This window comes from Homo sapiens, chromosome 19 (assembly GCF_000001405.40).
Source record: "Homo sapiens chromosome 19, GRCh38.p14 Primary Assembly".
NCBI classification, from domain to species: Eukaryota; Metazoa; Chordata; class Mammalia; order Primates; family Hominidae; genus Homo; species Homo sapiens.
In genome coordinates this window covers 7,003,573-7,027,601 of record NC_000019.10, presented here as the reverse complement: position 1 = coordinate 7,027,601, position 24,029 = coordinate 7,003,573, and the positions used below count along the sequence as shown (strand labels likewise).

Below are 24,029 nucleotides of genomic sequence, written 5' to 3'. Positions count from 1 at the left end.
TAGCTTCAGGGAAATGCTAAAAAAATAAAAATTACAATGAGATACTATTATATAGATATCAACTTAGCTAAAGGGAAAAACGCAGAAACACCAAGTGCTGACTAGATTATGGAGGGACCAGTCTTTCCCGTAAGGATAGTGGGAGTTTAAATTGGAATAACCGCTTTGGAAAACTATATGCAAACATCTATTAAAGCTGTATAGGGCCAGGCATGGTGGTTTATGCCTGTAATCCCAGCATTTTGGGAAGCAGAGGTGGGAGGATCGCTTGAGCTCAGTAGTCTAGAAGCAACTTGGACAACATAGGAAGACCTTATCTCTACAAAAAATAAAAAATAAGCATTGTCAGGCATGGTGATGCCTGCCTGTAGTCCCATCTACTTAGGAGGCTGAAGTGGGAGGATCACTTGAGCCCAGGAGATCAAGGCTGTAGTGAGTTGTGATTGAGCTACTGCACTCCAGCCTGGGTGACAGAGCAAGACCCTGTCTCAAAAACAAAAGCTGTAGGCTGGGCACAGTGGCTTACGCCTGTAATCCCAGCACTTTAGGAGGCTGAAGCGCGCGGATTACTTGAGGTCAGGAGTTTGAGACCAGCCTGGCCGACATGGTGAAACCTCCTCTCTATTGAAAATACAAAAAAATTAGCCAGGCATGGTGGCGTACGCCTGTAGTCTCAGCTACTCGGGAGGCTGATGCAGGAGAATTGCTTGAACCCAGAGGTGGAGGTTGCGGTGAGACAAGATTGCGCCACTGCACTCCAGCCTGGGTGAGAGAGAGACTGTCTCAAAAGAACAAACAGGCGGTGGCTCAAGCTTGTAATCCCAGCACTTTGGGAGGCCGAGGCAGGCAGATCACCTGAGATCAGGAATTCAAGACCAGCCAGGCAAACATGGTGAAACACCATCTCCACAAAAATACAAAAATTAGCTAGGCCTGATGGTGGGTGCCTGTAATCCCGGCTAGTTGGGAGGCTGAGGTGGGAGAATTGCTTGAACCTGGGAGGCGAGGGTTGCAGTGAGCCGAGATCGTGCCACTACACTCCAGCCTGGGCAACAGATCGAGACTCCGTCTCAAACAAACCCCAAAAGCCGTATAAACGTCTACCCTCTTCCCTTGCACACAGCATTTATCTCAACATTGTACATGCGTGCCCACCAATTTCATGTTCTGCGGGGCACAGAACCTGCAGTCATAATAGCTCTTGTCAGAAACCAGCCAATGAACAGCAGGAGAATGAATAAATACTGGGGCATCTGCACCCATCGGATCTTCTCACAGCAATCAGAACTCACAAATGACAACCGGCACAACCTTAAGCCTTGATCTCTCAAAGCTGAGGTTAATCCAAACCCAAGACAGTGCATACCATGTGGTTCCCTACACGTGAAACAAAAACCAGCCAAACTAATCCTAGGTGCTGTTACAACAGAGGGTGCCTTTGTGGGAGGCAGGATGGGGTAGCAGGAAAAGGCACCTGGGGATGAATCCGCTATTCTATTCATTGATTTCAGTGCTGGGCATGAGTGCGTTCAGTTTGTGAAAGTTCGTGAAGATGTATGTGTCTGATTTTTTGCACTTTGCTCTATGTAAGTTCTATGGCAATAACAATTGAGGAAAAGAGACTGAGATATAAACTCCCGCTTATGGCCAATCTGTGGCAAACTTCCACCCCATAAAACAACCTCAGGAATACCGCCTTGTATACTGGGAATTTGCCGAAAGAGTAGATTTCAGCTACTCTTTCTACACACACGTACACAAAGGTAATTACATCAGGAGACGGATATGTTCCTTTGCTTCATTGTAGTAATCATTTCGCTACATATACGTGCATCAAAACATCATGTATGCCTTAAATACATACAATTAAAAACAACACAGGCTGGGCGCAGTGGCTCACGCCTGTAATCCCAGCACTTTGGGAGGCCAAGGCGGGTGGATCACGAGGTCAGGAGATCAAGACCATCCTGGCTAACACGGTGAAACCCTGTCTCTACTAAAAATACAAAAAATAGCCGGGTATGGTGGGGGGCACCTGTAGTCCCAGCTACTTGGGAGGCTGAGGCAGGAGAATGGCGTGAACCTGGGAGGTGGAGCTTGCAGTGAGCCGAGATAGCGCCGCTGCACTCCAGCCTGAGCAACAGAGCGAGACTCTGTCTCAAAAAACAAACAAACAATCAAACAAACAAAACCCCCACACACCTGGGTGCAGTGGCTCGCGCCTCTAATCGCAGCACTTTGAGAGGCCGAGGCAGGTGAATTGGTTGAGGCCAGGAGTTTGAGACCAGCCTGGCCAACATGATGAAACCCTGTTGCTACTAAAAATACAAAAATTAGCCAGGCATGGTGGTGGGCACCTGTAATCCCAGCTACTTGGGAGGCTGAGGTACATGAATCCCTTGAACCTGGGAGGTGGAGGTTGCAGTGATCTGAGATCACGCCACTGCACTCCAGCTGGGGTGAGAGTGAGAATTTGTCTCAAAACAAACAAACAAACACCCAACACCTAATAGATAAACAGATAAAAAAAATACAATTTCTGCAGCCTTGGTCTCTGCAGTGACTACTCAGTTTTTTCTTATGATTTTTCACAATCTTTTCCTTGTGTAAATCCTCCTGGTTTGATCTTTGGGGATGCAGAGAAATACTGGCTATTTTGCCAATTTGGACCTGGGACTAGGAAGTTTAAGACACAATTAGGGCCGGGTGCGGTGGCTCACGCCTGTAATCCCAGCACTTTGGGAGGCCAAAGCAGGAGGATCATGAGGTCAGGAGCTGAGACCGTCCTGGCTAACACTGTGAAACCCCGTCTCTACTGAAAAATACAAAAAAAATTAGCTGGGCGTGGTGGTGGGGGCCTGTAGTCCCAGCTACTCGGGAGGCTGAGGCAGGAGAATGGCGTGAACCCAGGAGACAGAGCTTGCAGTGAGCTGAGATCGCGCCACTGCACTCCAGCCTGGGCGACAGAGCAAGACTCCGTCTCAAATTAAAAAAAAAAAAAAAGACACAATTAGCTTACAGATTTAATCCTGTAGGGCAATTTCAAGGTACTGATGTCTCCCTCAGCACCTCAGCAAACTCCATTATATGGATGCAAATGATCCTGCCTGGGATCCAGACACCAGTCCTTTTAAATTTTACTGTGAAATTCAAATGAGCTGCAAAATCTGAGACCCCCGAAATGACAGAAATGTCCTCTTCTTGACTTAGAAATGAAGGACTTAGAGTTCCTTTTTTTTTTTTTTTTTTTTTTTTTGAGATAGAATCTGGCTCTGTCACCCAGGCTGGAGTGCAGTGGTGCGATCTCAGCTCACTGCAAATTCCGCCTCCCGGATTCAAGCAATTCTCCTGCCTCAGCCTCTCGAGTCACTGTTATTACAGGTGCCCACCACCAAGCCTAGCTAACTTTTGTATTTTTTTTTTTTTTCGAAACAGAGTCTTGCTCTGTCGTGCAGGCTGGAGTGCACTGGTGCGATCTTGGCTCACTGCAACCTCTGCCCCCTGGGTTCAAGCAATTATCCTGCCTCAGCCTCCTGAGTAGCTGGGATTACAGGCACCTGCCACCACGCCCAGCTAATTTTTGTATTTTTAGTAGCGATGAGGTTTCACCATGTTGGCCAGGCTGGTCTTAAACTCCTGACCTCAAGTGATCCAACCACCTCGGCCTCCTAAAGTGCTAGGATTACAGGCGTGAGCCACCACACCCGGCCTAATTTTTGTATTTTTAGTAGAGATGGGGTTTCACCAAGTTGGCCAGGCTGGTCACAAACTCCTGACCTCAAATGATCTGTCCGCCTCGGCCTCCCAGAGTGCTGGGATAACAGGTGTAAACCACCCTGCCCTGGCAGGACTTGGAGTTCTTAAAAATAATAATAACAATAAATTCTGTTTGGGAGGCTGAGGTGGGCAGATCACTTGAGGTCAGGACAAGACCAGCCTGGCCAACATGATGAAACCCTGACTCTACCAAGAATACAAAAATTAGCTGGGCGTGGCTGGGCGTGGTGGCTCATGCCTGTCATCCCAGCACTTTGGGAGGCTGAGGCAGGTGGATCACCTGAGGTCGGGAGTTTGAGACCAGCCTGGCCGACGTGGTGATACCTCGTCTCTACTAAAAAAAATACAAAAAATAGCCGGATGTGGTGGCAGGCGCCTGTAATCCCAGCTACTTGGAACTTGGAAGGCTGAGGCAGGAGAACTGCTTGAACCTGGCAGGTGGAGGTTGCAGTGAGCCGAGATCACGTCATTGCACTCCAGCCTGGGCAACAGAGCAAGACTCTGTCTCCAAGAAAAAAAAATTAGCTGGGCGTGGTGTCTTGGGCCTGTAAACCCAGCTACTTGGGAGGCTGAGGCAGGAGAATTGCTTAAACCCGGGAGGTGGAGGTTGCAGTGAGCCGAGATCACGTCATTGCACTCCAGCCTGGGCAACAGAGGGAGACTCTAAATAAATAAATAAATAAATAAATGATTTCTGATTTCCTGGCCCCTCCCGTAGGCATCCGGAGACACTGGTCTGGAAGGCACCCAGGTGTGAAAACACTCCCAGGTGTGTTTTCTGCAAACCAAAGTTCAAAACCACAGACTCCAAACCAACCAGGGAAGTGGTGTGTCATCCTTGCCTGTCCTTTTGGTCTTTAGGGGATTGTAAAATTCCTATAGCCTAGGCTGCATCCAACATCAGTGGAATAAAAATGTGTAGGGGTGTGTGCTACCATTAGTTTTTCAAACTCTCCAGGAGATTCCAATGTACGTTCAGGTTGGGATACAAATAAAGTACATTTCTTCCCATTTAAACTCTCACTGGCTACACGTGAATGGTATGATTGCTCCATAGCCATGTCTGCACTTGGCATTGCTATTTTTTCATTTTAGCCAAACAGAAGTGTATATGAGTATCTCATAGTGATTTTTCATCAGCGTTTATCTGAAGCTAAACAGAATTTGGGCATGTGTTCAGGATTGTATTGACCATTTATTTATTCTCTCTTCAATAGTGCCTACTGAAGTTTTCCACTCATTTTGCACATCAATTTTTAGTATTTTTTTTCATTTGATGGACATCTTTCTAGTCTGTATTCTGGCTTGATGTACTTTACTGGATGCACATCATGCAAATATCTTTTCCAATATGATTTTCTAACACCCATTTCTCTCTGCATTTTCATTAATAGGAGATCTTTCTTTTTTTTTTTTTAGATGGAGTCTCACTCTGTCGCCCAGGCTAGAGCGCGGTATATTGTGTCTATATATTGGAGTTTGCAGGGGAGGCATCGGTGCATTGAAATTGCCACAATGTGATTAAATACGTAAGCTAATTGTGTCTTAAACTTCCTAGCCCCAGGTCCAAATTGGTAAAATAGCCAGCATCTGTCTGCCTCCTCAAAGATCAAACCAGGAAGATTTATACAATGAAAACATCATGAAAAATAATAGGAAAAAACTGAGTAGTCACTGCATAGACCAAGGCTGCTGAGACTGTATTTCTTTTTTATTAGGTCTGTTTATTTATTAGGTGTTTTTCTTTTTGTTTCTTCTCTCTTTTTTTTTTTTTTTTTTTTTTTTTTTTTGAGATGGAGTCTCACTCTGTCGCCCAGGCTGGAGTGTAGTGGCACTATCTCGGCTCACTGCAACCTTTGCCTCCCAAGTTCACACCATTCTCCTGCCTCAGCCTCCCGGGTAGCTGGGATTACAGGCATGCACCATCATGCCCAGTTAATTTTGTATTTTTAGTAGAGACGGGGTTTCTCCATGTTGAGGCTGGTCTCGAACTCCTGACCTCAGGTGATCCGCCCGACTCGGCCTCTCAAAGTGCTGGGATTACAGGATTGAGCCACCGCACCCGGCCGACAATTCCATTCTTATTTCCGTAGAATGCTTTCAAAGATGTTTGAGAGAATGGGAGGAAAAGGAAACATATCTAAAATGCCGATATTAACTGTAAATACCACCCCGCCACACACACGGATTAAATTCTTTTTCTACTGACATTCTGTGTTGGTAACACCATATTGGTTTCTGTATAAAGATTTAGAAATGCTTCAAATCCAATGGGTGGAGACAGGGCGTTCCCTATGGATTATCCACTGATTGCATTATCACTCCCTCTATAAAAGAGGAGCTAGATGCAGAAGCCACTGCATTTTCCGGCAAGCCAAGGGCTGTCTGTGCCTCAGGAGTGGGGTCAGCAGGAGGAACTCTACAGCTATGGGAGAACCTGCGTTCACCTCTTTTCCAAGCCTGCCTGTTCTGGTGAGTATGGGATCCTTATTGACTATTGACCAAAATAATGTCCATTTGTATTCCTTTTTCTTTCTGTAAAACATCTTCACAGTTTAGCAAGTTGTTCTCAAAACTAGATGCTATCTCGTGGAAACTTATACCCTAGGTGTTAATATTTGTTGAGTAATACTCAAGTAATATTCAAAATATTCAACAATATTCTAATTTTTTGTTCACGGAGCTATCTGGGGATAATAGCCCTGATTTTTTAAAAGTCCAACAACATCACTAAGAAGGAAAAGAGGTATTACTTGGCCTTGCAGTCTTCAAATTGTCTCTCTCTCTGGAAAGTTCTTGAACCAGAAATTGCTTGGTCCCTTTAAAAAAAAATTTTAGTTCTCTGGTTAAATATCATGATTGGTTAGTCCTTCCCTAAACTCACTGTCATGATTCATTGTAGTGAATTTCTTTCTTTTCTGTTTCTCTGTTTCTCCTCCTTCCATCCCTCTCTGTCTCTCCCTTCTTCTTCATCATGGAACTTAATTATATCTGATACCCTATCGGAAATTTGTTTTTAGTGTGTTTATTATGTCTTCCTTCTCACCAAGATGAAAATCAACAGAGTGGTGATTTCTGCAGTTTACTTCTGGATCAGGGGTTCTACTGCACAGCTTGGCACATCATAAGTGCCCTGTAACTAAGGAGACTAAATAATTTTCCCTCCAAAGGGGAACACCTTGGGTCGTGTAAGGGGTAGTATTAATCTTAATGCCAGGACAACAGAAATGAAATGAGAAGGACAGAAATGAAGGCTTTATGTTTGTATCTGAAACAGCTTTATGAGACTAGAGTCTTCCAATTGATTTAGAGCAAGAAAGGATTTCAAATCTTAGGAGGGGCTTAATCATCTTTCTCAGTATGTCATCAAAAGATTCTCTCATGGTGTAACTCTAGTTAATTGAGCTTATTAGAAACAGAAAGCAACATGGTGTTTCTGAGGTTTTTCTTCATGAGCAGGAGGTGTTCAGGTGAAGGTGGGATCTGGGTGTGGCAGTGAGTATTTAAGGTGGCGAGTGCACGATTTCTTTGGAAACCAGAGAGTCAAGGAGCTATGAAAATGACGTTGTGTCCTGAAGCACAGCAGAAAGAGATACAGAGAAGCGTGAGGTCTTGGTGAACAGGGAAGTCTGGGATCCCGGTGTCCTGTTGGGGATGGGTTAGGAGGCACCAGCATCTGTGTAGCTGACAGTGGCAGGGAAGAGAAGAGAGGGGTGTCCTCTGAGGAGGATGAGGAGGGACAAGGTCTGGAACTGACCCTGGGTCATGACCTTGAGCATTTAGTCCTTGACTCGCATCAGCCCGATGAGGTCCCAGGACCCAGTGTCAATGCCTGGAGCTCCTGCCAGCAGCATCAGGGTCACACGGAGAAATGCAGACTCTAGGTTCCACCCCAGACTTACTTGGGTTCAGGTCCACATATCTGACTTCAGCAAACCCTGCAGGTGCTGAGGATGTACACTGCCATTTGAGACACATTTCCCCAGAAAGAGAGGCTGGTGGGAAGATTCCACTGAGCTGAGAGAAGCCCCCCACAGCTGATCTTCTCCTGTCTCCATTTGGTTGAAATTTCACATTTTCTTTTCTTTTGAAAGGGGAAGCTCAAAAGGAACATGATGCCCTGGGCTTTACAGAAGAAACGAGAAATCCACATGGCCAAGGCCCATCGGAGACGAGCTGCGAGGTCTGCTCTCCCCATGAGACTCACCAGCTGCATCTTCCGGAGGCCGGTGACAAGGATCAGGTCTCATCCTGACAACCAGGTCAGACGCAGAAAAGGGGACGAGCACCTGGAGAAGCCGCAGCAACTCTGCGCCTACCGGAGACTGCAGGCCCTGCAGCCCTGCAGCAGCCAAGGAGAAGGTTCAAGTCCACTGCATTTGGAGAGCGTCTTAAGTATCCTTGCACCGGGGACGGCCGGTGAATCTCTGGACAGAGCTGGTGCTGAGCGTGTGCGCAGCCCGCTTGAGCCCACCCCTGGGCGGTTTCCAGCTGTGGCAGGGGGGCCAACCCCAGGAATGGGTTGTCAGCTCCCACCGCCCCTCTCTGGCCAATTGGTGACTCCTGCAGATATCCGGAGACAGGCCAGGAGGGTGAAGAAAGCCAGGGAGAGACTGGCCAAGGCCTTGCAGGCAGACAGGCTGGCCAGGCGGGCAGAAATGTGACAGGTGGATGAAGTGCAGGAGGAGGGGGTGCTGAGAAGCTGTGGGGTGTGGCCCCGCAGTTGGGGGGTGAGTCAGTGGGGACAGTCCTGGGTTTTGAATCCCTATCTTTTAATGCCCGTCCTCTTTCCTGCTATGAATTGTCACACTTTGTACTTCCCCACCAGTTCTTTATTAAAAGCATTTGAAAGGCAACAGTGTAAGGAGTGGATGGTTTTGTGGCGAGAAATTGGGTTTCGTAAGGCAAAGAAGGAGACCTTTATATGTCATTGTACACCTCAATGTCCGTTTACCATGATTTTTATTAGTTTTTCTTTTCTTTTCTTTTCTTTTCTTGTTTTTTTTGAGACAGAGTTTCCCTCTTGTTGCCCGGGCTGGAGTGCAATGGCGCGATCTTGGCTCACCGCAACCCCTGCCTCCCGGGTTCAAGCGATTCTCCTGCCTCAGCCTCCTGAGTAGCTGGGATTACAGGCGCCCACCACCACACCTGGCTAATTTTGTATTTTTGGTAGAGATGCGGGTTTCACCATGTTGGTCAGGCTGGTCTCAAACTCCCGACCTCAGGTGATCCGCCTGCTTTGGCCTCCCAAAGTGCTGGGATTGCAGGTGTGAGTCACTGTGCCTGGCCTGATGTTAATTAGTTTTCCTACTAAATTCTAATTTAATCTTAAATGAAATTCTAAAAAATAAAATTAAATTATATACTTTTTAAGTGATATGATTACATTACATAATTTAATAAAGTACACTGATTTTAACATTAAATTTTTATTTTGAAATTACATTTTCATTTTTATTTTTTAGATTCAGGGGTACATGTATTTGTTGATTTTATTAATATATTTTGCTGAATGGTACGGATTGGGTTTCTAGGGTACTCGTTACCCAAATGGTGAACATTGTATACAAAAGGTAATTTTTTTTTTGTTTTTACAAAAGATAATGTTTCAAACAAGAAGTAATTAAATTATTCTATGCTGAAGGATCATTTAGTGTTTTGTAGTTACATTTTTCCTTTTTTTAACTTTATTTTATTATGTATTTATTTATTTATTTTTTGAGAGAGAGAGTCTTGCTCTGTCACCAGGCTGGAGTGCAATGGCACGATCTCAGCTCACTTCAACCTCCGCCTCCTGGGTTCAAGCGATTCTTCTGCCTCAGCCTCCCAAGTAGCTGGGACTACAAGTGCCCACCACCACGCCTGGCCAATTTTTGTATTTTTAATAGAGACAGTGTTTTGCCATGTTAGCCAGTCTGGTCTCGAACTCTTCACCTCAGGTGATCTGCCCACTTCGGCCTCCCAAAGTGCTGGGATTACAGGCGTGAGCCACCGTGCCCGGCCTATATGCGGATTTTCAACTGCTGGTGGTGTGGGGTCAGTGCCCGGACCCCCAAGATGTTCAAGGTTCAACTGTAGATGCTGATAAAAGTGTCAATTCAGTAAGAAGAAACAAAACTATGACAATGTACTCACGAAACCATGGAGACCAGAAATATAAGAAGTAAAGATGAACAAAATTTAAGGCGGAAAATAGATGGTTTTACAAAAGCTGGAGACATCAATATGGCCCTTGCAATAATGCATAGACCCAACAGACAGCGCATTAATCATGAAAGGGGGGATTTGAATAAACTATAGACCAACTTGGACGCAAAGCCTACGTAGAGCACTGCATTTACCAACAGCGGAGCAGTCGCCCCTCTCAAGTGCAATGGAGCATTCTCCAGGATAGACCATATGTTAGGCCATGGGACAGGTCACAGCAAATTAAAAAAAACTGAAACTATACAAAGTATCTTCCAAGATTGCTCTAGAAAGAAGCTAGAAATTCACAATAAAAAGAATGCTGGGAAATTCAGATATGTGGAAATTAAATAGCAGGCTCATAAACAACCAATGGTTTAAAGAAGAATGCACGGCTGGGCGCAGTGGCTCACGCCTGTAATTCCAGCACTTTGGGAGGCCGAGGCGGGTGGATCACCTGAGGTCAGGAGTTCAAGACCAGCCTGGCCAACATGGTGAAACCCCGTCTCTATTAAAAGTACAAAAATTAGCCGGGCGTGGTGGCGTGCGCCTATAATCCCAGCTACTTGGGGCAGGGGTGGGCTGAGGCAGGAGAATCGCATAAACCCAGGAGGTAGAGGTTGCAGTGAGCCAAGATTGCGCCACTGCACTCCACAGCCTGGGCAACAGAGTGAGACTCCATCTCAAACAAAACGAAACAAAACAAAAAAGAATGCACAAGTGAAATTAGAAAATATCTTGAGAGAAATGAAATTGGAAACACAACATATCAATGTCTGTGAGATTCTGTAGAAACATTGCTCGCAAATTTAAACCTTTAACAAGTTTCTTCAAAAAAGAAAAAAGGTATCAAATTAATAATCTAACTTTTAATCTCAAGGAACTACAAAAAGAATAGCAAAGTAAATTAAAAGTGGGCAGACAGAAAGAAATAAAGATTAGAATGAATGTACATGAAATAGAGAATATAAAAAGCACAGAGAAAATCAGTGACACCACAAGTTGGTTCTTCAAGATTGGCAAACTGACAAACCTTTAGGTAGTCTGTCCTCGATGACAGAGGGCAAATGCAAATAAATAAATTAGAGATGAACATGGAGACATTATTACTGACCTTGCAGAAATAAAAAAGGAGAATATAATGAAGTATACATGAATAAATTCTGTAATGTAGATGAGCAAATTCCTTAAAATGCACAAATTATTAAAACAGATCCAAGAAGGCCGGGTGTGATGGCTCATGACTGTAATCCCAGCACTTTGGTAGGCTGAGGTGGGCGGATCACATGAGGCCAGTAGTTTGAGACCAGCCTGGCAACATGGTGAAACCCCATCTCTACTAAAAATACAAAAAATAGCCAGGCGTGGTGGTGCACACCTGTAACCCCAGCTACTCGGTGGCTGAGGCACAAGAATTGCTTGAACCAAGGGGGCAGAGGTTGCAGTGAGCCAAGATCTCGCTACTGCACTCCAGCCTGGGCCACAGAGTGAGACCTTGTCTCAAAACAAAAACAAAAATAAAAAACAAAGCAAATTCAAGAAAAAATACAAAGTTTGAATAGATCTATAATATGAAAAAAGGCTGAATTAGTAATAAAAACAGTCCTACAAAGAAAAGCTCACAATTAGATGGCCTCACTAGTGAATCTGATCAAACCTTTAAAATCCCCCAAAAAATAGAAAAGGAGGGAACACATTGTAACTTATTCTATGAGGCCAGCATTTCACTGGTAACACACCAGACAAAGACATAACAAGAAAACTATAGACCAATACCTTTAAGATAACAGATTAAAAATCTCCAATAAAATACTAGCAAATCAAATCTAATAGCGTATTTGAAAAATTACATACCATGTCCAAATGGAAAATACCCCAGGAAAGCAAAGGACATTCAATTTAGTTAAATCAATCAATGTAATCTACCACATTAATAAAAGGAAGAAGGCGGTGGGTGGCTCACGCCTGTAATCCCAGCACTTTAGGAGGCCGAGGCAGGCAGATCATGAGGTCAAGAGATCGAGACAATTCCGGCCAACATGGTGAAACCCCGTGTCTACTAAAAGTACAAAAATTGGCTGGGCGTGGTGGCACTCGCCTGTAGTCCCAGCTATTCGGGAGGCTGAGGCAGGAGAATTGCTTCAATCTGGGAGGCAGAGGTTGCAGTGAGCTGAGATCATGCCACTGCACTGCACTCCAGCCTGGTGACAGAGCGAGACTCTGTCTCAAAGATAAATAAATAAATAAAATAAAAATAAAAGGAAGAAAAAATCATGCTTTAAAAAAATGCAGCTGTTCATTTGATCAAATCCAATACTTTTTAATAAAAACACATTCAGAAATAATAAGAGGGAACTTCCTTAACATGATAGAGGACATAAATCAGAAACCACAGCTAACATCATAATTGATAGCAAAAGACTGGCTGCTTCACCTCTAAGTCCAGTACGAAGACAAGGAGCCCATTTTCACTTCGTTATTAAACATTGTTCTGAAAGTTTTAGCTAGAAAAATTAGGCAAGAAAAGCAAATAAAAGGCATTCAAATTGGAAAGGAAGAAGTAAAATTATCCTGATTCCCAGATGACAAGATCCAATACACAAGCAATCTCAAAGAATCCACAAAAAATGATTAGAGCAAATTTTTAAGGCTCCAGGGTACAAGATCAATATGCAAAACTCAGTTGTGTTTCTATATACTTCAAACGAATTCTCCAAAGAGAAAATTAAGGAAATAATTTTATTTATAGTAACAGCCAAAAGAGTAGAGCACCTAGGTATGAATTTAACTTAAAAGGTGAGAGATTTGTGCTAAAAACTAGAAAACATTGCTGAAAGTAATGAAGAAAGCTTAAATATATGGAAAGACATCCCATATTCATGGATCAGAGGACTTAGAATAATTAAGATTACAACACAATCCAAAGCAATGTATAGATTCAATGAAATCCTTATCAAAATCCCAGTGGCCCTTTTTGCAGAAATGGAGAAACTATCCTATAATTTATTAATATGTAGAATTTCAAGGTTTGAAACAATCTTGTCAAAGAAAAACAAAGTTGGAAAACCCATGTTTTCCAATTACCAAACTTAATACAAAAATTCTGTAATCACAGGTGTGATATTGAAATAAGGATAGGGTCATGGAACAATGGGGTAGAATTGAGAGTCCAGAAATAAACCCATATCCATAGCTAACTGGTTTTTGACAAGTGCACAAAGACCATTCAATGGGGAAAAGACAGTCTCACTCTGTCACCCAGGCTGGAGAGCAGTGGCGCAGTCTCGGCTCACTGCAGCCTCCGCCTCTTGGGTTCAAGCGATTCATGTGCCTTAGCCTCCTGAGTAGCTGGGATTACAGGGGCATGCCACCATGCCTGGCTAATTTTTGTATTTTTAGTACAGAAGGGGTTTCACCATGTTGACCAGGCTGGTCTTGGACTCCTGATCTCAAGTGATCCACCAGCCTCAGCCTCCCAAAGTGAAAAATCAGTATTTTTAACAAATGGTGCTTTTACAACTGGATATCCAAATGAAAAAGAATGAAGTTAGACCCCTACCTCATGTGGTATACAAAACTTAATGAAACAACAATTAACTGGATGTCAAAAAGTGCTGACCTGCTGGAGTGTAAGAGGCCACGTGGGAGAGAAACAAGGCTTGGCAGTCAACAATTCATCACTCTGGTTGCCAACTTCCAACCACAAGATGAGTGAGTAACACTATCTTAGATTATCTATTCTTTGACCAACATGTGGAACTGAAGCACAAAACACAAACATCATTTCCTCCTTTGTCAGTCATGTAAAAGGAATTGTTTCTCAGCAAACTTCCCATGCCCTGAAAGAGTGGTATTCAGTATGTGGATTGGCTGGCATCCCAGCTACTCCAGAGGCTGAGGTGGGAGGATCGCTTGAGCCCAGGAGGTCGAGGCTGCAGTGAGCTGTAATCGTACCACTACACTCCAGTCTGGGTGACAGAGCAAGACCTTGACTCCAAAAATATGAAAAAATAAAAAAGTTTTTACAAACATTTGAGAGCAGGAAATTAAAATTTTTAATAGTTTGGGGATAAATATTTAAACAATGTTTTATGTTCCAATATGCTTACTTTTCCATTTTTCAATATTTTTTGAACTGCCTTAATGTTCTGGGGAAACGGCATGTTGTCGGTGGTCAATAAATACTTCTTGAGTGAAAGAATCTATTTTTTTGGACATCATAAATCACTCAGATTATAAGAGGGCAAAGTTATTTTGCAGTATATTTATGGGAATAGAGAACCATGCAGGTTTTTTTCTTTCTTTCTTTTTGAGATGGAGTGTTGCCCAAGGCTGGAGTGTAATGGTGTGATTTCGGATCACTGTAACCTTTGCCTCCCGGGTTCAAGTGATTCTCCTGCCTCAGCCTCCCGAGTAGCTGGGATCACAGGTGCACACCACCACGTCCAGCTAATTTTTGTATTATTATTATTAGTAGTAGTAGTTGTAGAGACAGGGTTTCACCATGTTGGCCAGGCTGGTCTGGTCTCGAACTCCTGACGTCAGTGATCCACCCGCCTCGGCCTCCCAAAGTGCTGGGATTACAGGCGTGAGGCACCATGCCCGGCCGAGAACCATGCAGTTTTTATTGAGTCTCCTTTCTCCCTCTGGTGGAGACAAATGAGACCACAGCGGTAAAAGACTGTGGCAAGTGTAGCTTGATGTTTATAGTAAGAAAAATCCATGTTGTGGGCCGGGCGCAGTGGTTCACGCCTGTAATCCCAGCACTTTGGGAGGCCGAGGCGAGTGGATCACCTGTGGTCAGGAGTTCGAGACCACCCTGACCAAAATGGAGAAACCCCGTCTCTACTAAAAATTTTTGTTCCTACATTTTTGTTCCTACAAGGATGGGACGTGGTTGGCCTCATCTCCCGGGGACACCACGAGAGCTTTCCAGACGCCGGGTGATCGGGGAGCAGCTCCCAGTATGGCCTTATTTATGTCTCCTCCTGACCCATGTTAACGCATGGGCGCCCCATGATGTGGTCTAGTGAGGGCCTCTCCCTGGAGTCAAGGGCCAGAATTGTGTTTATGAGGCGTTCTAGTTCTATGGAAATGAGAAACGGGATCTCCTGTCATCGTTCACAGAGTATTAGTGTCCTCCTCAGCCCCACAAAAGTCTGCCCAACAGATGGCAGTCCTCGGCCACCATGGTGTAGACAGTGACTCCCAGGCTCCACACGCCCACCGGAGTCCATCGTACTTTTGCCTCCGGGAACAGTTCCGAGGCTGCGTAAGAGGAGCTCCCACCGAAGGGGATCAGCTTTCAGCCTACGGTGAATCTGGTATCAAAGCCAGAGTCTGTTGTTTCCATGTCGTGCTGAGCCTCCTCAGGGAAGTTCTCTGGCTTCAGATCCCTGTGGATAATTTCCTTCTGGAAGCCTCACTGCATGGAATATCCTATTTGCTGGAACTTGCCTCAGGCCTCTTCCCCCTTCAAGGAGAATTGGAGGGTGAAGTCGGATAGCTCTCCCGAGCTGGCTTAATCCATGACTAGGAACAGCCTGTTCTCGGTGCCAGCCACGTGGGTCTGATGATCTTCGGGTGATTAAGGGCCTTCATCATATGGACCCTGCAGTACAGATCCTGGGGGCTGCAGGAGCCCTGCTGCCCTGTTGGGGTGACCTCCACAGCCATCTTGGTCCCAGTGAGAATGTGCTGGGCCAGCTGCCTTGACTTCTGCAAAGCTGCCCTGGCTGATGACCTTGAGGAGCCTATGATCATCAGTAAGGGACTCCTCGGAGGCAGAACTGGTCCCAAGGCCCTGCGGCGTGGTGACCTCCCAGCTACACATCTCAGCTAGGAATGCCAACTGAGAATACTACCCCTACAAACTTTGCCAACAAGAAGCAAGAATGACACAGCTGGAGGTGTCTGCTGACATGTGAGGGTGACCTCTGGTCACCTCCATGCCAGGGACAACGTTCGAGGCCAACTCTACCATGGCTGCACCCAGGAGCCAGATGATGTCACCGGGAATCACCTCTCCCGGCCTCTTGGCTCTGCTGACTTCCCTCTGAGTTGATGTCGTTCTCAGGTGGGCTCTTCCTCCAAGGTGACAAGATGGCACCCACAGCCCCAGCAGCCTAACTGAAATAGATCTTCTCCCGGATGTTTCCAAGACAACAACCTGACCTTTGGCACTGAGTGTGTCACATGAGCAGGCCTTAGCCAATCACTGTGGACAAAGAGGATGGGATCTGCGGATTGGCCATGTTGAGGTCATGTGGCCACTGTCTCCATGGAAAGTTGGGAGCTGCTCAGCTGTTCTCAGTTGGGAGACGCTGTGATGGCTGAGAGAGCAGGTTCAGACTCGGAAGGTCACTACAACTGGATATCCAACTGCAGAATGACTTTGGACACCTACCTCACAGGATATAGAAAAATGAATGAAAACAACAGTTAACAAGGGGCCAGAAAGTGCTAGTCTAATGCACGTTATGATACACAAAAATCAACTCAAAATCGATCAGTGTCGTAAACATAAACCTTGAAACTAGAAAGCTTTTAGAAGCAAACAAAGGGTAATTTTTTATGATCCATATCTTAGGTCATAAAAACCCATAGTGATTTTAGAGATGACACCAAAAGTACAAGAAAAAAAGCAGATACATTTCAGTTCACTCTTTATTTTGTACACTCTATGAGTTTTAACAAATGTGTAATAACCTGTACCCATCATTACTGTGTCATACAGAATGGTTTCACTGCCCTGAAAATCCCCTGTACTTCACGGCTTTAGATAGAGGTCTGGCGGTGTGAGCCTCGTCATTGATGTTTTGGGTGGTGGGGAATGTAGGTGTTTTTCAGTTACTATCCTCCGCTTTAGGGCAGAAAAGAGAGGAATTCCCCACCTAGCCCCAGGTTTTCATAAAACCATAAGTAATGAAGGAACCCAATACTGCAGGTGAAGAAATGAATCGTCAGGATATATTGATCCGTGGGATTATCATAGTAAAAATAGCTAAGAAATAAGGAAGGAGATCACATTTTAGAACCCAACAATGCAGCTTGAATTCTGCATGGATCTTGAGCTACTCATTTGGACTTTGTGAATTCAGTGTGAATGTTGCTTCCCAGGCAATGGGGGACGCATGCACTTGCCGGTGCTCGTGCACACGGGATTGGCGTGCAGATGTGTGCGGGCCGCACAGGGGATGTTCTGCAGCTGCCCTGGGCCCTGGGTGTGTGAGGCTGCCCCCCTGCCATGTTGAACTTTAAAGGGTGTGATGCCGGAATGTTGTTGGCTGAGTCCGGACTGGCATGAGCCCTTCTGATCCTGTTACCTCACACCTTGCCTGGCATCATCCCAAAAGGCGTTTGTGCAAATGGCTTATTGACACGGGCTTGGGACCAAATCCACCCAAGGGGAGGGGGTCCCTGGGGCCTTGCTATCTGTGGACTTGGATGAAATCATAGTGCCTGGGGGTGGAGAGGATGACCCTCAGATATGTTTTCCAACTCGTGTTTTTCTTCTAGATGCAGGACCCCAGATGCAGAGCCCCAGGGCATAGAGGATTTCAGATTCTTACAGGGGACTGGAGGAGGCTCGGCTGAAAGGAGTCAGGGCTGCGAGGGTGGGGGAGAGATTTGAGTAGTTTCTCCATTTCACAGCAATAATTACCGCCCCCCACCACACACACATACACATATTCACACATGATATATGCATACACCTGTCTGGTGCTGCAAGTTCCCCCTTTGCTCAGACTTAGGGTTTTGCAGACACTTCTAAGGAAACAAAGATGTTCCCTTTAATTTTTGTCATCTTGCTCCTGAAACTTCTGCAAGTGTGCAGTGTGACTCATCCCATCTTTCTTTCTTTCCTGTTCTTTTCTTTTCTTTTTTCCTTTTCTTTCTTTTTGTGTGATGGAATTTCACTCTTGTTGCCCAGGCTGGAGTGCAGTGGCATGATCTCGGCTCACAGCAACCTCTGCCTCCCGGGTTCAAGTGATTCCCCTGCCTCAGCCTCCAGAGTAGCTGGGATTGCGGGTGCCCGCCACCACGCCTGGCTAATTTTTATATTTTTAGTAGAGGCGGGGTTTCACCATGTTGGCCAGGCTGGTCTTGAACTCCTGACCTCTTGATCCACTCGCCTCAGCCTCCCAAAGTGCTGGGATTACAGGCATGAGCCACTGCATCCAGCCTCCCACATTTCTTAAATGATCTGCATCATAAAATATGGTGTTTTAATTATGTGCTATCTGGTTGTTCCTCATTTCCTGGACACGTATGAGTATTATCTCCCAGACTAGATTGCTTAGCTCTGTGGAGGTGTGCACCTCAAAGCAGGTTCTTGCAAAAACCCACTTCCCCCATTCCCTTCCTGTGGTTAGAACGCTGGGTGCAAACAAGTAATTACTCTGTGTCTGGCTATGAATTATAATATAGGGCATTAGATTCCCAAGACCAGAGGATTCTTTTTTTTTTTTTTTTTAACATGGTTTTGCTCTGTCTCCCAGGCTGGAGTGCAGTGGCACATCTTGGCTCTCTGCAACCTCTGCCTCCTGGGTTCAAGCAATTCTCCTGCCTCAGCCTCCCGAGTAGCTGAGATTACAGGCGCCCACCACCATACCCGGCTAATTTTGTATTTTTAGTAGAGACAGGGTTTCACCATGTTGGCCAGACTGGTCTCGAACTCCTGACTTCAGGTGATCTGCCTGCCTCGGGCCCAGCTAGATTCATCTTTAAAGAACAAGTTAACCAAAAAATAGAATCAAACATAATAAGTATACGTATTTTGTATATATGTAAAAATGTAAATGCACTAAACAATCCTAGGTAATGTTAACGGATATATGTGTTTTGTATATTAATACATGCTTAAATGTTATTAATATGTATTTGGATGTATATAATGTATGTGTATGAAATTCAGAATAGAAGTATATACACCGAATAAATAATGATATTTGCCTGCTCTGGGAAACAGGGAGAAGAGAAATTGGATTGTCTGGGGAGCCAACGGGAGACTACTTGTTTGTAAAATGTTATTTTTAAAAGACTCAAAGTGAATATAACCAAATTCAGTAATTCTCCATTCTGGGTGATTGGAATATAGATGTTTGATATATTATAATTGCCTGATTTAAAATGTAAAAAATAGGCTGGACGCAGTGGCGCATGCCTGTAATCCCAGCACTTTGGGAGGCCGAAGCGGGTTGATCACCTGAGGTCACGAGTTCGAGACCAGCTTGGCCAACATGGTGAAACCCTGTCTCTACTAAAAATACAAAAATTAGCCTGGTGTGGTGGTGGGCACCTGTAATCCCAGCTACTCAGGAGGCTGAGGCAGGAGAATCGCTTGAACCCGGGAGGCAGAGGTGGCAGTGAGCCGAGACCACACCACTGCACTCCAGCCTGGGCAACAAGAGTGAAATTCCGTCTCAAAAAAAAAAAGAGAGAGAGAGAGAGAAGAAAAGAAAAAAGAAAGAAAGAAAGCAGTTGGCATCAGTCATATTGCACACATGGAGGGGAAGCTTCAGGAGCAAGTAGACAAAAATAAAAGGGAACATCTTTGTTTCCTTAGAAGTGTCTGCAAAACCCTAAGTCTGAGCAAAAGGGGAACTTGCAGCACAGACAGGTGTATGCATATATCATGTGTGTGCATGTGTGTGTGTGTGTGTGTGTGTGTGTGTGGTGGGGGGCAGTAATTATTGCTGTGAAATGGAGAAACTACTCGAATCTGTCCCCTACCCTCGCAGCCCTGACTCCTTTCAGCCGAGCCTCCTCCAGTCCCCTGCAAGAATCTGGAATCCTCTATGCCCTGGGGCTCTGCATCTGGGGTCCTGCATCTAGAAGAAAAACACGAGTTGGAAAACATATCTGAGGGTCATCCTCTCCACCCCCAGGCACTATGATTTCATCCAAGTCCACAGATAGCAAGGCCCCAGGGACCCCCTCCCCTTGGGTGGATTTGGTCCCAAGCCCGTGTCAATAAGCCATTTGCACAAACGCCTTTTGGGATGATGCCAGGCAAGGTGTGAGGTAACAGGATCAGAAGGGCTCATGCCAGTCCGGACTCAGCCAACAACATTCCGGCATCACACCCTTTAAAGTTCAACATGGCAGGGGGGCAGCCTCACACACCCAGGGCCCAGGGCAGCTGCAGAACATCCCCTGTGCGGCCCGCACACATCTGCACGCCAATCCCGTGTGCACGAGCACCGGCAAGTGCATGCGTCCCCCATTGCCTGGGAAGCAACATTCACACTGAATTCACAAAGTCCAAATGAGTAGCTCAAGATCCATGCAGAATTCAAGCTGCATTGTTGGGTTCTAAAATGTGATCTCCTTCCTTATTTCTTAGCTATTTTTACTATGATAATCCCACGGATCAATATATCCTGACGATTCATTTCTTCACCTGCAGTATTGGGTTCCTTCATTACTTATGGTTTTATGAAAACCTGGGGCTAGGTGGGGAATTCCTCTCTTTTCTGCCCTAAAGCGGAGGATAGTAACTGAAAAACACCTACATTCCCCACCACCCAAAACATCAATGACGAGGCTCACACCGCCAGACCTCTAAGGCCGTGGAGTACAGGGGATTTTCAGGGCAGCGAAACCATTCTGTATGACACATAATGATGGGTACAGGTTATTACACATTTGTTAAAACTCATAGAGTGTACAAAATAGTGAACTGAAATGTATCTACTTTTTGTTTTTTTGCTTGTAATTTGGTGTCATCTCTAAAATCACTATGGGTTTTCATGACCTTAGATGGGGTTATAAAAAATTACCCTTTGTTTGCTTCTAATAGCTTTCTAGTTTCAACGTTTCCATTTATAACACTGATCGATTTTGATCTGATTTTTGTGTATCATACACTCCAGGAGACTAGCACTTTCTGGCCCCTTGTTAGCTGTTGTTTCATTCATTTTTTATATATCCTGTGAGGTAGGCGTCCAAAGTCATTCTTCTGCAGTTGCATATCCAGTTGTAGTGACCTTTCGAGCCTGAACCTGCTCTCTCAGCCACCACAGAGTCTCCCAACTGAAAACAGTTAAGCATCTCCCAAGTTTCCATAGAGACAGTGGCCACATGACCTCAACCTGGCCAATGGGCTGATCCCATCTTCTTTGTCCACAGTGATTGGCTAAGGCCTGCTCATGTGACACACTCAGTGCCAAAGGTCAGGTCATTGTCTTGGAAACATCTGGGCGGAGAAGATCTATTTCCGTTAGGCTGCTGGAGCTGTGGGTGCCATCTTGCCACGTTGGAGGAAGAGCCCACCTGAGAATGACATCAACTCAGAGGGAAGTCAGCAGGGCCAAGAGGCCGGGAGAGATGATTCCTGATGACATCATCCGGTTCCTGGGTGCAGCCATGGTAGAGTTGGCCTCGAACGTTGTCCCTGGCATGGAGGTGACCAGAGGCCACCCTCACATGTCAGCAGACACCTCCAGCCGTGTCATTCGTGTTCCTGGTTAGCAAAGTTTGTAGGGGTAGTATTCTCAGTTGGCATTCCTAGCTGAGATGTGTAGCCGGGAGGTCACCACGCTGCAGGGCCTTGGAACCACTTCTGCCTCCGAGGAGTCCCTTACTGATGATCATAGGCTCCTCAAGGTCATCAGCCAGGGCAGCTTTGCAGAAGTCAAGGCAGCTGGCCCAGCACATTCTCACTGGGACCAAGATGGCTGTGGAGGTCACCCCAACAGGGCAGCAGGGCTCCTGCAGCCCCCAGGGTCTGTACTGCAGGGACCATATGATGAAGGCCCTTAATCACCCGAAGATCATCAGACCCACGTGGCTGGCACCGAGAACAGGCTGTTCCTAGTCATGGATTAAGCCAGCTCGGGAGAGCTATCCGACTTCACCCTCGAATTCTTCTTGAAGGGGGAAGAGGCCTGAGGCAAGTTCCAGCAAATAGGATATTCCATGCAGTGAGGCTTCCAGAAGGAAATTATCCACAGGGATCTGAAGTCAGAGAACTTCCCTGAGGAGGCTCAGCACGACATGGAAACAACAGACGCTGGCTTTGATACCAGATTCACCGTAGGCTGAAAGCTGATCCCCTTCGGTGGGAGCTCCTCTTATACAGCCTCAGAACTGTTCCCCGGGACAAAAGTACGATGTACCCTGGTGGGCGTGTGGAGCCTGGGAGCCACTGTCTACACCATGGTGGCCGAGGACTGCCATCTGTTGGGCAGACTTTTGTGGGGCTGAGGACGACACTAATACTGTGTGAATGGTGACAGGCGATCCCATTCCTTGTTTCCATAGAACGAGAATGCCTCATAAACACAATTCTGGCCGTTGACTCCAGGGAGAGGCCCTCACTAGCCCTCATCATGGGGCGCCTATGGATTAACATGGGCCAGGAGGAGACGCTAACTAAGGCCATACTGGGAGCTGCTCCCCGATCACCCGGAGTCTGGAAAGCGCTCCTGGTGTCCCCGGGAGATGAGGCAGACCATGTCCCATCGTTGTTGAAAAAATATGTGATGATACCATGGCCGGCTATCAGATCCTGGGCTGCAGGAAACCCGAGGTGTGGGGCGCCATCATCACAGTGAAGCTCCTGCCTTCAGCAGATCCTACTACTTGCCGCCATTCTCCCCCATCACATGAAAAAAACTCCTCTAATGAATATTAAACTTGTACTGGAAAAAGGTCAATAAATAAATAAATAAGATATAGTCGCCTTAGCCAACTCTGTTTCCTTTTTTTTTTTTTTGACAGAGTCTGGTTCTGTCATTCAGGCTAGAGTGCAGTGGCACGATCTTGGCTCACTGCAACCTTTGCCTCCCGGGTTCAAGCGATTCTCCTGCTTCAGCCTCCCAGGTAGCTGGGATTACGGGCATGCGCCACCATGCCTGGCTAATTCTGTATTTTTAGTAGAGACGGAGATTCTCCATTTTGGTCAGGCTGGCCTCAAACTCTCGACCTCAGGTGATCCACCCGCCTCGGTCTCCTAAAGTGTTGGGATTACAGGCGTGAGCCACCGCGCCTGGCCAGAAAACTCCTGTGTTTAAGGTAAGTAGGTAAAGCTGTGACCTCCACAACAGGGATTTTTCTTACTATCATCAAACTGCACTTGCCGTTCTGTTATCCCTGTGGTATCATTTGTCTCCACTAGGGGGAGAAAGGAGACGCAGTAAAAACTGCGTGGCTCTGTAATCCCACACATATAACATGAAATAAATTTACCCTCTTATAATCCGAATAATTTATGGTATGCAAGAAAATACAGATCCATTTACTCAAATATTTATTGACCACGTACAACACGCTTATCCTCCCAGAGCATTAGTTGAAAAAATACTGAAAAATTGGAAAGTGTATTAGAATTTAAAGCATTGTATAAATGTTTTATGTATCCCCAAACCAAAATTATTAAAACTCTAATTTCCTGTTTGTTTTTAAATTTTTGTAAGATTTATTTTTTATTATTTTTGGAGTCACGTTTTTGCTCTGTCTCCCAGGCTAGAGTGCAGTTGTGCGATCTGGGCTTACTGCAGCCTTGACCTCCTGGGCTCAAACCATTCTCCCACCTCAGCCTCCTGAGTAGCTGAGAATACAGGTGCACACCACCATGCCCAGCTCTTTCCTGGTTTTAATGGAAGCAAATTCATCAATATTTTTAAAATCAACTTCTGGGAAGAAAATGAACCATTAACTAAATGTAATATATATTTATATTTAAATATATTTCTGTATTTCTATATATATATGTATATATATATATATTTTTTTTTTTTTTTTTTGAGATGGAGTCTCACTCTGACACCCAGGCTGGAGTGCAGTGGCAAGATCTCGGCTCACTGCAATCTCCGCCTCCCAGGTTCAAGCAATTCTCCTGCCTCAGCCTCCCAAGTACCTGGGACTACAGGTATGCGCCACCATGCCCAACTAATTTTTGTATTTTTAGTAAAGACAGGGTTTCACCATGTTGACCAGGCTGGTCTTGAACTCCTGACCTCAGGTGATCCGCCCACCTTGGTCTCCCAAAGTGCTGGGAATACAGGTGTGAGCCACCGTGCCTGGTCCATTAACGATGTTATTTCAGCCTTAAAAACATT

The 24,029-nt window shown here is 45.5% G+C and overlaps 1 protein-coding gene, 1 long non-coding RNA gene and 1 pseudogene across 3 annotated transcripts; 2 read left to right on the top strand and 1 right to left on the bottom strand.

The window, feature by feature from the left end:
• The first annotated feature begins 6,170 nt into the window (after positions 1–6,170).
• MBD3L2B (methyl-CpG binding domain protein 3 like 2B) lies at positions 6,171–8,633 on the top strand. Its single transcript, NM_001364674.2, has 2 exons — positions 6,171–6,249; positions 7,872–8,633. The coding sequence occupies exons 1-2, from the start codon at positions 6,205–6,207 to the stop codon at positions 8,439–8,441; spliced, it is 615 nt and encodes a 204-aa protein (NP_001351603.1). The 5' UTR covers positions 6,171–6,204; the 3' UTR covers positions 8,442–8,633.
• Positions 8,634–13,994: 5,361 nt separating this feature from the next.
• LOC112268245 (uncharacterized) lies at positions 13,995–20,961 on the bottom strand. The gene is made up of 2 exons (XR_002958415.2): positions 20,748–20,961; positions 13,995–16,365 (listed from the first exon to the last, which is right to left on the bottom strand). It is a non-coding gene; the product is annotated as an uncharacterized LOC112268245 (long non-coding RNA).
• Positions 20,962–21,186: 225 nt separating this feature from the next.
• MARK2P21 (MARK2 pseudogene 21) lies at positions 21,187–22,649 on the top strand (annotated as a pseudogene). The gene has a single exon (NR_024372.1). The product of NR_024372.1 is annotated as an MARK2 pseudogene 21 (transcript).
• The last annotated feature ends 1,380 nt before the right edge of the window (positions 22,650–24,029 follow it).